This window comes from Homo sapiens, chromosome 11, assembly GCF_000001405.40.
Source record: "Homo sapiens chromosome 11, GRCh38.p14 Primary Assembly".
NCBI classification, from domain to species: Eukaryota; Metazoa; Chordata; class Mammalia; order Primates; family Hominidae; genus Homo; species Homo sapiens.
Genome location: NC_000011.10, coordinates 108751694 through 108765890, shown reverse-complemented (window position 1 = coordinate 108765890; position 14197 = coordinate 108751694). Strand labels below are relative to the sequence as shown.

The 14197-nt window shown below is 35.5% G+C and overlaps 1 protein-coding gene and 1 long non-coding RNA gene across 2 annotated transcripts in view; one reads left to right on the top strand and one right to left on the bottom strand.

Moving 5' to 3' along the window:
* DDX10 (DEAD-box helicase 10) overlaps positions 1 to 14197 on the bottom strand; it is a 275859-nt gene that overhangs the window by 175037 nt on the left and 86625 nt on the right. The window lies entirely within an intron of this gene.
* Positions 1 to 14197, top strand: part of LOC124902750 (uncharacterized) — an 80188-nt gene that overhangs the window by 13804 nt on the left and 52187 nt on the right. Inside the window, exon 2 of the long non-coding RNA XR_007062881.1 lies at positions 7493 to 7556. This is a non-coding gene — a long non-coding RNA (uncharacterized LOC124902750). The remainder of the gene's footprint in view (positions 1 to 7492; positions 7557 to 14197) is intronic.

The following is a 14197-nucleotide window of genomic DNA, read 5'->3' as shown; positions in this document are numbered from 1 at the left end:
TTCAACAACAATTTAAGGTTCTTTACAGTAACACCTAACCTAATCTTCTAGTCCATTTAATACCTTCTCACTTCACCAAGTAATGTGCAAAACACACAGTGAGGAACTAAATGATTGTTGAATTGCTGCACTGGTTTAACAGAAAATCTCATTTATTTCAATGCAGATAAAAAATCATTTTGTGATGCTCCTGTGATAAAAAGTGCATGAGCAAGTGTCAAACACCATGGTTAGCCATGTATTTTGCAATGCAGAAGTAAACTGACACATATTAAATACAGGCTAACTCTTGAATTTAATATGAGGTTGTCAAATTTCTCAAACTGCAGTCGAAATATTTTATTGCATTTTGGCAGCTGAAGTGAAACTAGGGCTACAAATATTTTTCTGGGCCAAACTTAAAGACAGAGCACCTAATTTACCTTAAAACTAATAGTCTCTTGTCATCTAGTCTTAAGTAATGTTTCTGAAAGAGCTGTAAGTAATCTTCTAAAACTACTACAGTATGTGAAACTTTAAGTTTAATGCTTTTTCTTATCCCTATTCAAATACTATGATTAATTTTATATAGGTTAAAGAATCCAAGGGAGGGACAGAATGGGGATTTAGAATAAACTGAAGGAGTCCATTTTGTAAATTCAGCCCCACTACCACTGCTGTGACACCTCCATCAATTTTAAGCAAATAATAGACTGTTATATTTGTTCCCTCAGAGTCAGGGTACAAACCCGCTTTAGGGAATTGGCAAAATAATGTTACTGTAGATTACTCTGCCTCTCTTTCAGGTCTATAAAGAAATTTGGCTTCTTCAGTATATTATTTAATAGAAAGGTCTATTGAAACCTTGCATAAAAGTTAATATCTTAGTTAAAACAAAGAAATAAATTTTAAATTGCAATAAATGTAAATTTGTTTTCATTTGCATGTTGTCATTAAATAAGACAACATACTTTTGAAGAACAGGTTTTTTCATTCCGAAGTTTTAATTTTATGCCATAATTTACACTAGAATCACTACAGATGACAATTCAAGTCGTTTTATTCAATTAGTTATTTTATGATCAGTTCTCAAATCTTTACAGGTTTTTAAGAGACAAAAATCAAAGAAAGTAATGCTGAGAAATACATTCCATGCTAAACCTCATTCCATCTCAAATTATAGTGATTGCTTATATTCACAGTATCAGGGTAGCTATTCTGTTCATTTTTGTTTTGTTTTTCCTTGAGATGGAGTTTCGCTCTCGTCCAGGCTGGAGTGCAGTGGCGCGATCTCAGCTCACTGTAGCCTCTGCCTCCTGGGTTCAAGCAATTCTCCTGCCTCAACCTCCCTAATAGCTGGGATCACAGGCATCCGCCACCATACTCAACTAATTTTTTGTATTTTTAGTAGAGACGGGGTTTCACCATGTTGGCCAGGCTGGTCTCAAACTCCTGACCTCAGGTGATCCACCTGCCTTGGCCTCCCAAAGTGCTGGGATTACAGGCTAGAGCCACCGCACCTGGCCCATTTGCAAACAGTAGAAGTGTTGTGCCTTGGAGAGAATTTTATAAAAAATAACCTCAAGATGCTATTCCCCCCAACATCAAAATTAACTAACACCACCTGTCACCATTTCTTTCACTCTTCATCATGTGCTGTATGTGGCTAAACCCAAAATTCACTGGAAGATGTTACATTCCTTTTATGAAATGTTTTAACGATTACATGCAAGCAAGCTTTTAAAAAAATAAAATAAAATTGAAGGAGGCAAACTTCATTTTGCTGCTATCTAACACAATATATACTGCCTGTAAAAGGAAGTTCTAAAGATTTTCCATTCAGGAATCCACCAAAGGTTTTAGTTGTTTTGCCCTCAAAAAACAAATGGCCTATTTCTACAATTCTCATTATTTTATTCACTTGGCCAATAAAATAATGAAAGCTCTATATTTGGAATTGTTAACCTTTGTCAATCTGTATTTTCTGTAAGTAATTTGAAACCTGTTAGAACACAGCATATTCCCTTTGAATATCAGCTATCCTTACACAAAAATGTTAAGCTTGAACTATTTAATGCATTATTACTAGATACAGAATGTTTATTAGTAATAAAAACTCTTTGCTTTTTATTACACACAAATTTTGAACAGAATCAAATTCTCTCCAACTTAATCCCCAATTAAAATAGCATCTACTATCCAATGAGTCACAATTCAATTGAAAGATTCAATTAAGAAAGTCCACTTTTCTTTCATCAAATGAGTTTAGTTGTATCACAGTATGACTATAAAACACTCCTAAAATAAAAAGCTTTTTAGCCCATTTTAAAAGGAAGCCCAGTAAATTCAATACTGGAAAAAGCATGGTGCTAACTGATACGGTAAATACTTAGTATGCATTCTGAAATGTTAAGTATCCCCCCACATCTCTGGCCACAGATCTCCTACCTGGTAATTGGATTATTTAGACTTATTTGTTACTGGCATATTGTTTCTAGTAATAGAATACCTTTTGGATAGGTTTTTTTAATGTTTATGTTACTATGGATTCTTATTAAACCAAGAAGAGAGAGACAGTAAAAATAAGCCCAAGTGAGGATGACCTTCAGGAAGGCCTATGAAATTAAGACAGCAATGGCATCCTGCTCCATTAGAGGAGCAATCAACTTCTCAATATTACTGCTACAGCGCACAGTGTGATCTGGCCACCAAGGAATTGCAACCAGAGGAAGAAAATGCACCAGACCCTTCTCTGCCTCTATTAAGTGAGCACCTGTTCTGCCAAGGACACCCAGCTTCCCCTCTGTGGGGAGGTATGCACTGTAGTGAAGCCTGCTCAAGGATCAATGAGAACAGGGAGTAGCAACAAGTTACAAGAGAAGAGGATCTATATGTTCTACCATCACTTTGTGGCTGCAATTTCTTTGAGGCATAATAGGGAAATTCAAAGACACTCTGACTAAAGGGAATCAAAGAGTTCTACATACAGCGAAGGAAAGCCAGCACAGCCTATGGGCAACATTTTAAGAAATGCTTAAAACAATATTATTGTCCGAGAAAGGAAAGAAGGAAAGGAGTATTCACTGTCAGCCAAACAGACAAGCACTCTCCATGGGGATGTGGAAGAAAAATATTATAAATGTGAGGGTAAAAATGTATATAATTTTTACATAAATGAAAAAACTTTGAGACCATGATCTAGACTTAACTTTTGCATTCCCCTAACTTTAATCAGGATCATTTACTTAGCCCCAATGTGATCCACCTTGCCTACACAATTAAGATGTTTGGAGAACCTCTGTCTCATAGGACCTTCAATATCAAGTTCCCCCTTCATCTAGAAGATAATTTCTAGTTGACTAGTAACTTATGTTCTGCTTTCAGGAACTCCTTCTTAGGTTTTTTGGTCTCTATTGCCTAGTTTTTAAACCTGGGTTGCTGATCTGTACTGATAATGCCCAATTACCATCATTTCAGTGATATCAACAATGGAAAAGGATTTATTTATTATCCTGTAGTCCCTGGTGTGTGCTTTGTTTTCATAAGCCAAACATAAATGAGCCACACCATTTACCTGACAGTACACTGGTCCTAAGTGGGAAAGTAACTCCAAGAGGAATAACTGCCAATTTCCTCAAATATGTTACCTACATAGGGGCCGCTTATCTATTTCTGCCTCACTAGTAGATGCCTGTTTTGTCAATGCTGTATTTGAGCACTGCATTCAATAACAAGGGAATCATATCAAACCATAAAGAATAAAAATACCCCAAGGCATCAGAATTTTAGAGCAAGGAAGGGAGTTAAGAGATCTAGTTCAACCTCCTCCTGTCAGCTATTAGATCACAATAGAAATTAAAAGTTTAGAAGCTTAAATAGCAATTTGATCAAGGTCTAAACAATAAATGTCAACTGTACTCATTTTTAATGAGGGCAGTAACTCAAACTTTGATTTTTCATATTTATATTAGTGTAGAAAATATTATATAAATTTACTTAATGATTTATTACAACTACACCTTATTTTCCATTCTTAATACATCTCCCATGGCAGTAACGTATGGTCTTCCACATAATGTACACTACAGGAAATTGAGTATACAGTACAGCTCTCCATGCTACCAGTTAGTTTTACTTCTTACAAGATACTTTCTCTGGTGACCCAAATGGCAGAGGCCAAAAGATATGTAAGTTGGAGTAGAAACACCATCATTAGGGATACTAAATGTCTTACAAGGAAAACAAATTCAAATTTATAATTGACCCTTTTTCTACAATCCTTGTCTCTGTAATACAGTGATCCCCACATGTTTTTCTGAGCTGCCCAGCTAACAAAGGAGTTCTAATCAATAATCACTGAGGACAACACAATGATAGGAAAACTGTCTCACCAAGCCAGAAGTAACTGCATACGAAACCAAGGGAATGTTGTAATAGAAAAGATTTGAAGTTTAAAGTCTTTAAAAGCCATTTAGAGAGTCCTGAATCAAAGAGGACCACAAATAGTTACTGCCACACAAAACGAACTCATAGGCCACACAAAAAAAATTTAGAGGCGCTGCCTCTAGACTACTACTGTTCTCCAAAAGGAAAAACACAAGTAATATTAACATTTTTCTAACATTTAAAACAGAGGCAGGCTTCCTTTACAACTTCCCTGCTTTGAGTAATCAACTGAGTTGAAAAAGATCCGCTCATGCCCTGGTTCTCATTTTTGATGGATGCTTGTACTGTTGCCATTAGGAAAAGAAAAGGCAGAAAACTAACCAGGTCCTTGGAGATTATAACACACTCCATAATAAAAGCAGAAGTGATGAGAACTCGAAAATTATTTTCATTTTATACCTTATATTTGTATTATTTTTAAAATGCAGGCTATGGTTAAAGTATTATATATTAGATTAAATTTTGTTACACTGTTAGAATTCCAATAGGCGTGCTTAGTGACTGAATTACTATACTTATTCACTCTTCCACCTTTGAAAATTTTTCACATCACTTCAGTGAAGATTTAAGTGAACAGCCCTGCCAATCAGAAAAGGAATATGTGGCAATGACTAACAACAAACTTAGAACTCCTTTTTGAGAACAGCATAAACAATTTTCCCATTTCTAAACTCTAGGCTTTTACTTCAACAGGTCACTCATCTCTAAGTTATTGAGATACAAAAACAGGATAAAGTAACTGTCTTTCCTATACAGGCCCTGAAGTCCAATTTAAAAAAAAAAAAAAAAACAGTGTTATGTTGTACATGAATAAAAACACATTAAATCCCAGTATGATCTTATATTTTTCCAAATAAAAACATATTTCATTTACATATACATTTAAAGGAAATTATTCACCAAATGAGGCAGCCCTAAGTTGCCCAAATAAAATGACCATACATAATTCTGAAGGATCAATGTTGAGAATGTTCCCATATAAACTAATATGAAAACATGCATGAGTTTGAACAGGTTTGGGTTTTGTAAACATATTAGATGTAGTAGTCATTCTTAAAAATACAGAAAGTGGAAAAGAATTTAGCATTTCCATGTCCTTCCCTGCCTTCTCCTTAGTCCTCAGGTGGCCACCCATAACCATGCTACCTCATATACACACTAACCCACCAAGGAATCTAGGAAGCTATGCCAATGTTCTGTAGAGATACATATTTTGTTAAGACAAATAACATCCATAAAAATTCAATCCAATATATAAAATAACACTTAAGCATATTGAATGCTAAGGGTGGGGGGGGAATCAACCCACGTACACCATACAGAAAACACAAAAAGGAAAAGATGTAAGTGAATGTTCCAAATTCAAAGAAAATGAGAAACAAAGGAATTGATAGGAGTACCCTTCACTAACAAACACAATTTATGTCTAACTCTTATAGTGTGAGATTCTTTTTTTTTTTTTAACATGGATCAATGCAGGCAATTTCTGAAGACATATCAAAACCGTTTCTTTCACAAATTCAACACAATGAAGTAGGTAAGAAAACACATTCCACACAAAAACATGTGGCCATAAAATTCCCTCTTTACCTGGTAATTTTATAATAATACTAAATATTCCTGATAAAATATACCTGGGGAGGCAGCATCTTAAAACAAAAATCTTACTGCCACATCCTACTCTGAGTTATTGGATTAAAGTAATGCATAGAAAATCTAGTCGTGAGATATTATCCATGGAAAAAAAAGTGATGCGGGGCTATGAGACACACAATCAAATTCTGCCATTTTAGCATTTGTCAAGTTCAGAGTCTTTAAAAGCCCTAGAACAGATGTAGTGTCAAGAAGTCTCAAGAGTTGTTGGCTATAAAAACTTTTTAATTTTGCATTTCAATGACAATCTTAAAATCTAAATGCACATTCTAGATCAAATAGATGACTACCTTACAACCATATCTACCATCTGAGTTCAGTGGAGTATTGAAAACTACACTAATACCAAACAACACCCCTGGAGCTGTATGAGCGATGGTTAGCGTAAGTTCAAATAGAGTAGGAACACTGAATCGTCACACAAACCAGTGGAGTACCCACATGGCCAACTAAAAAAACTATCATCCATCCCATAAACAAATGCTATTTATTTGAAGTTTATTGGTGTTTAGCTTTGTTATTTTGTTTTGGTCATATAGGTATATGACAGCTATAAGTAAAAGAAACTTAAGCAAAGTTTTATGTTGTTATAATCAAATAATTAAAAATAATTTAAATAGCATCTGAGATAAATGGGTTAATTATTAAATTATCCATTTCCAATTTATTTTATTAGCCATACTAGTGCCAACCTCTACTAGTGCAGAACCCAGAACAATTGAAGTGATCATATGGATTGTACTATAATAGCACTACTATAGGTGGTATTTTCATTAGCATAGATACAAAAGCTAACAAGGACTACTTCCCATTTTCCTTTCGGCCACCATAAAGGCAGCTTAGAGGCACAATTATGACTTAACTAGAGCAACTGAATGGAGCTTTATCATCAGTTACTGTGGTAGCCAGAAAAACGACCCCAAAAAATGTCCACATGCTAATCCTGGCATCCTGTGAATATAGTTACATGGCAAAAACGAATTAAGGCAGTTAATCAGCTAACTTTAAAGTAAGGAGACTGTCCTGGATCATCCAGATGAGTCCAATGTAATCAAAAGTCAAAAGGATCCTTAAAAGTGGAAACAGGAGGCAGAAGGGGAGATCAGAGTGATGTGATGCAAGAATTTGGCACTTGACCCACTGTTGTTGGCTTTGAAGATACAGAAAGAGGCCAATGTGGGTGGTTTCTGGAAAAAGACAAGGAAAGGGTAACACCTCTAGAGCCTCCCAGAAAGGGAAACAGCATTATTGACCCGTTGCTTTTACTCCAGTGAGATTCATTTAAGACTACTAACCTACAGAACTCTAAGATAACTTTGTGTTGCTTTAAGCCACTAAGTGTATAGCAATGTATTACAGCAAACACAGAAAACTAATACAATCCCTGTATTATTCCATTTTCTCCATGATACAGATCCTCCTGTCCTAATGTTTTACCAAAGCCAGAAGTTTTACTGCTAAGTTTATTTCACTATTTGGTATGTATTTCCTGTGAGCTACTTCAGATCTCTTATAGACTGAGATGGTATAGATTCTAAAAATAAATAATATAAGCATTTGTCAAACACCCTGAAAACCCACTGAGCATGAACCTGTAGTAGGTGATGAGAATACAAAAAGTATAACCTATAGCTTCACCCCTCACTTATCACCATGAACCTAAGTCTCTGCCACATTGTACATCTCTTGGAGGACATTTGAAACAGTTGAGCAGGGGGATGACTAGTTAGGAGGGTAAAGAACCATGAAGACAATGCTGCCACTATGGCGTAAAAGAAGAAGCGCCCAACTGAGGTTGCTGTAGCAGTAGGCAGCCCAAGCATAAGCACAGGGAAGTCTGACAGTCAAATTAATTCTGGTTTAAAGTTTGCCAGGTCAATGAAGTGGAAAGAAAGGAATGCAATTACATTAAAGGTACTGATAAAACCAAAACAAAAAAGGAAAAGGTTAAGAGATCGATCACAGAGTCGATAGTAAAAACAGCAAGCAGTAACTAGCTGAGATTGACAGACAGTAAGAAAATGAACCAAAGGTCAGGGAAAAGCCAGAAAACAAGTACTGGGAGAAAAACAGATTATAAGGGTCAGAAGGTTAAGAAATTAGGGTCAGAGGGAAAAAAGTTTTCAAGAGGACAACCAACAAGTGGTTCTGGAAAAATGTAGTCGAAGGGTCTAGTCACATCTAAGCGTAATCACAAGACTATGGAAAAAAGCTTGATTATTAAGGTGGCTTAATTTTTAAGGTTGACACCAAGGAAGTTAACTGTGCTTTTACAGGAAATCCCTTGGGAGCACTCCTGGCCACAGTGCTTCTAGCTATTGCAACCTAGGAACCTTGATAAGTATGGAAATTATCATAATAAATAGAAGTGTGACATGTGCACACAACTGTTTCCAAATCCCATAAATAGTCTCCAAAACTAGAAAAATATGGTTAACAGTAAATATTTTTAGCTGGATAATTACATAAAATTATAATTAACAGGTGTAGCTTATGTTACACAGACAGATACACAAAAGTTGGTAACAGTTTTTGTAAGTCGGAAACTTTGAAATGCAACGTGAATCTTGGAAAAGAGAACAAACATTTCTTGCAGAGAGAGAGGAAATAAGGAAGAAGACAGAGGTGAAGGAGACTGCAGACAGGTTGATGATTTGGTTTGAGGAATTATTTGTGGGGAGAGAAGGGAGACTTTACAGCGCCTTCCTCAGCAGCGCCTTCCCCTGTCCTCTCCACAGGGAGAACCTATTAAAGTGAAAAGTTTAACACAGACTCAGACTACAATCATCTGTTCTGGGTTTACTGCATTTGTTTTTCAGATCTTTCCCAGGTCAGGAAAGATTGTGTGTCAGGATGTCTGAGGAATTATAAAAGAGATAATTCTACCCAAATAACTTCATAATGTATTAGCCTTCAATTAAGACCAAAAGTATGTGATAACAAGACATGACTCGATGTTGACTGTAATTTACTAAAACGTAAGAACTGTATTTTATTCACCATAGGACTAGCCAAAAGCCTAATGGGCATCATGAACCATCAAGGAACACAGACAGATATTCTGAAACATGAGAACACTACCTTATTTGCTTTAGTGAGGCTGCAATGAAGGGGACTTCTGAAAGAAGCCAACCTAAAATCTGCGGAAAATTATACACAGCTCTAGCACACTTTCAGCTTTAACAGCTGACCCACAAAGACATTACAGAAACAAAGTTACTAGGTTAGTAGTATATAAACCAAAGATCAGGTAAAGTCCACAATATCTTAAATCAACAGACAAATCCAAATGCATGGAGCAACCTAAAAGCTAAATAAATAGCTAAGTGGAGTAAATTAACTTGAGTGAAAATAGAGGGTCAATTTAAATTTAGCTCTGATCTATTCAGTGGCCTTATTCTCTAGGCAACTATAAACTCCATTGTGTTTGCAATCTGATTAAACCCAAGAATGCCATTTGATCTCCGTGAGCTTGACATCCAAATGTATGTGGTCTCACAGCACTAGTAAATTCTTTTCCATATAAGAATCATACAGGACACCATAAGCAATCTAATGACAACCTCAAGTTGAATTTCACTAAATCAACGTATGAAAAATAAATACAAATTTACCAACACAAATCACATTAGATAAAGTTTACTGCAAACTAACATTCCTATGGTTTCAACAAACATCTTTTAAAAAGACAACTGTAGCAGCACTAACACAATCAGTATAGCCAGAAGCTAAGCATAAGGAAAGATTCAGCTGCTGACATGACACATGACTTTGGAATATTTCCTTTTACCTTTTCCTTTACAAAAAGAGAAAAAGAGGGAAAGAGGGAAAGAGGGAAAGAGGGAAGGGGGAGGAAGAAAGAGAGAGAGAGAGAAAGAAAAAGGCTCAAGTTATAACACCTAATATTTAATTGTTGAGCATCTGTTATGCATTAAACACTTCACTTTAACTCTCAGAACAACTTTTTGAGCTAGTACTATTATTAGTCTTATTTTCCAGAAGAGGAAAACTAAAGTAAGAAGTAATATTTCCCAAGTTACACAGTTTACAAATGGCTGAGGCAAGGTTTGAACTCTAAGTTTTACTCCAGAGCCAACGTTGTGAACCATTTCACTATATTGTCTCATAAAAGTAAGCTTCTCCATGTAATCATCTGAAAATCATCTAACTGGGAAAAGAGAAAGAACCATCCATAAAATATCTGCAAGCTCAAAAGCCTCAGAGGTACACAATTTTTCTTCTATAAAGGGCTAGACAGTTCAATATTTTAGGCTTTATGGCCCACATGGTCTATCACAACTACTCAATCCTGTGGTTGTAGCCTGAAAGCAACCCTAAACAAATGAGTATGTCTGTGTTCCAATAAAACTTTATTTACAACACAGGCAATAGGCCAGATTTGTCTCAGGGGCCTACTTTGCCAAATCATAACCAAAAAGATATTTTAAAAGTTTGAGTACACAATAAAATTCATGACTCTCATAAGTTAGAGAAAAAATCATGCAGCTATAAAAAGTAACTTCAAGGATTTTCTCCAGGGCAAATGCTTTTATTAGCAGGAAGGATTTGTGTTCTTGCTTGTGTTATCAGAATGCATTGCTTTAGTGTTGATTAAGAGCACGTTCTCTCTTTGTGGCTCTCATGGACACCTCTAGGTTTTTCTAAGTCCCCAAGGAAAGCAACATCTCCTGCCAAGAACAGGTCTTACAAAACCACAGCAGTTTGTACCATAATTACTACACAGCCTACAATCATTCCTGTCCCACATTTATTCCCCATCGACAGCATCTGTTGTGTCAGGGTCAGGGGTCATGACATTCAGCCAACAAAATCAGATTTCCTCAAATAGTGAAGGCAGGAAATATAAGAGAGCTCACTTGAGCTAGCATATTCAAATTAAACAGATGTAAATGTATCAGTCTGAAAATCCAACCTTTTCTGATGTTCTGACTTTCTGGTTTTTAACTGTTATGCTCCTGGTTGCCCATCCAGTTAAGCACAAGGGATAGAATAGTGAATAAGGTTTGCTCTCCGTTCTCATAGATTTCCCAGGCTAACTAAAGTTATGAACAAGAAAACAGAATCTTTTTTGTTCCTTCTATCACCCATAGATTCTAGATGTACAGTGTGTCTTGAATTACCATTCTTCCTCTCATATACCTAAGGCTATACTCTAGTTTTGACCCTTACTCATCTATTTCATTTCCAAGTGCTTTTAATCACTTACATCTTTTCATAGGAACATTTTAAATATGCACCCAATGTATACTTTATTTATAATAAATGAATGTGAGTATACATAAAATCAAGTATACACAGAAAAATATGAAGGATTAAATAAAAACAAGTTCTAATATTTTCTTCCTAAACCCCAATGGATTAACCTCATTCCACCTGAAAACTCGATTATGGCAGTAGATTCTAAACTTGACACTATCAACATAAACCTTAAAAATTAAGCACTGCCCTCAAACATATTAATGAATAAATACTATGAGGACACTGATGGGGAAATAATTCATGCTACTTAGACAACTCAGACGGAGGGCAAGCGAAGCTCATATTAAAGGCTAGGCCTTTGGAATCTATACTGTATACTAGAAACAGTAAATGATTCTGTTAAATGAATCATTCAGCTAAACGATTCACTTCCGACAACACAGCAGAATCAAATCTGAACAGAAAACAGGCCATTATAGAAAGCCTATTACTTTGTTGCAACATAAATCAGCATCAAAACTGTTAGAAACAAATTCTTTAATGAATGAGGTGATGTCAACACTAAATGCAAAAGATAAATCAGGAAATTAATATCTTGGATTCACTTTTTTAAAGGGAAAAGACAGCCAATAATAAATGTAATATATGTTACTTTATATATACACACCCGACCCTGTATTCAGCACTTCACATTCCTAAGGCATCTCAAGAAAAGCCTAAGAAATTTTAAATTGATTAAGCCTATAAATACTACTAAAGCAAGTACCACGTGGCTCAGAGTAACACCAAATTAAAAATGAAACTCACTCATGTAATATAAAACTTCACTAAAAAAATTTCTAGATTCATTTCAGAATACTTTTGCTTATTTGCCATTGTGTCCAATACTTGCAATTTTTCGTGATGCTTTTCAATTATCAAACAAAAATACACCACAAGAACTGTATGTCGTAAATGCTTACTTTAGTTTCCTATTTTGTTCTGAACCAGGAATTCGTGAACAGAGAATCTTTTCCATTCATGATATATAAAATGTGTAACCCATGAAAACACGATGGACAGAGGGAGAACGGCCATTTGAGAGTATCTTTAATGCTTATCAAAATTTTTTGTTTCATTAATCCTTGTAAGCAACATACGTACATAATATGTACCATGCTGTTGCTTCCTTTGGTAAACATTTATCTACATTGGAATGGATGACTGCATTCTGTAGATTTGTCTGTATGTTTATAAACAATCTTTATTTTAAAAGGACTGTTATTTATTTTAATCTAAAACTAAGCAAATGTGAAATCACAAAACAGTGGTTATTTTTAAGTAGTTTTTATCCAACCAAGGATAAGCATTCAAGTAATTATGTAAGGTTTGTGCCTTAGGATTAAGACATAAATTTTTAATGAGCACTCAGTCTTGCTGTTAGTTCATCTGTAGAAAACAATTAAACACACATTTGGTTTGCAGAAATTTTATGCATTATAGAGTTCTCCCTTCTGAAATAAAGACTCCTAATAGTCACTGGTCATATATACAAAGCACATTTCCAATTTATGACAAAGAGTGGTACATTTTCCAACATTATAGCTTGGCTAGCAGAATTCAATTCAGCAAATATTTATTTAGCACATATTACATGTCAGGCTCCAAAGGAGAAAAATGAAGCTCAAATGACATTCACTGTATAGCAGTGGCTCGAAATCTAGCATCAAATCTCCTAGGAATTTAATCTCCGAGGAATATAAAATCAAATCACTTTATATTCCTTTATCTCCTAAGGTGTTAAAATCTAAGGTGTTCACAATGGCAAAAATATTAGGCTACGTTTATGGTTTGGTATTGGAAAAATCCAACTTTCAAAGTATATGTAATATGAATATGACAAATACAAACCACCTCAAATAAATACCACTGTGATTATTCCACAATAAATTACTACCACATGGCATGTGGCAATCTGGCTGTTAGACCAGAACAACAAAATTGTTCCAACTGATTCATGACATTCATCAGCTACCTACTCAGAACAGACATCCATAAGTACACAAAGATGGATCCATAATAGTGATGCAAAGCATGCATCACTTGTTATCAGATAAAATACTATTGCATGTTCTTGCTATCAGGTGACAGTTGTGAATTTAATCAAGGCTCTACTTGAATTACTCAGTGAGCCACCTCCACCCAATTCATCCCACAGGAAAGAAAGTGAAAAGAACACCAAAAAATGAAAGTAGCAACCCAAAACACTGCATACACTGACAGATGCACTAGGACACCATTTGTTTTCTCTAACTTGTGTTAAGCATCAGAAGCAAGAGGAACCCGGTAGGTTTAACCTCAGATTAAACTTGGAGGACCCCTCACAAATGCTCTAACACTTCCACAGAAAAGCCAGTATCTGTGTTCAAACTACCATGACCATCCTCAAGACGTAACTTCACGACGTCAGTACCTTGTTCTTACCACATGCCCCATTCTTCACAACCCATATAATTCTGAGATGTCTTCCTTCTCCACCTACCCCATGGAGAGAGAGCTCTAGAACCAAAAATGAATAACACTTATTGGAAACTTAACCATATACTAAGACCTGGCTGATATGGTGGAGAGAACTCTAGCTTTGGAGTAAAATATTGCTAATTCCCATCTCGGCTCAAAACTGTATTTTCACTGGTTTCTTAACCTCTTTAAAGCCTTCCAGTGGCCCCAGTAACACCCACTACCAGCTTACTTAGTACTAAATAAGCAGGTGTGATTTAGACTGAAAGACAGTTATACAGTCGACTTAAACTGAAGATTGACTTGCCAAATGTAATAACAGAAAGATAATGGGAGATGTGAATCTTAAGTTTTCTACTAACTAGTTATTAGGTTATCGAACTACTCACACAATTATGCT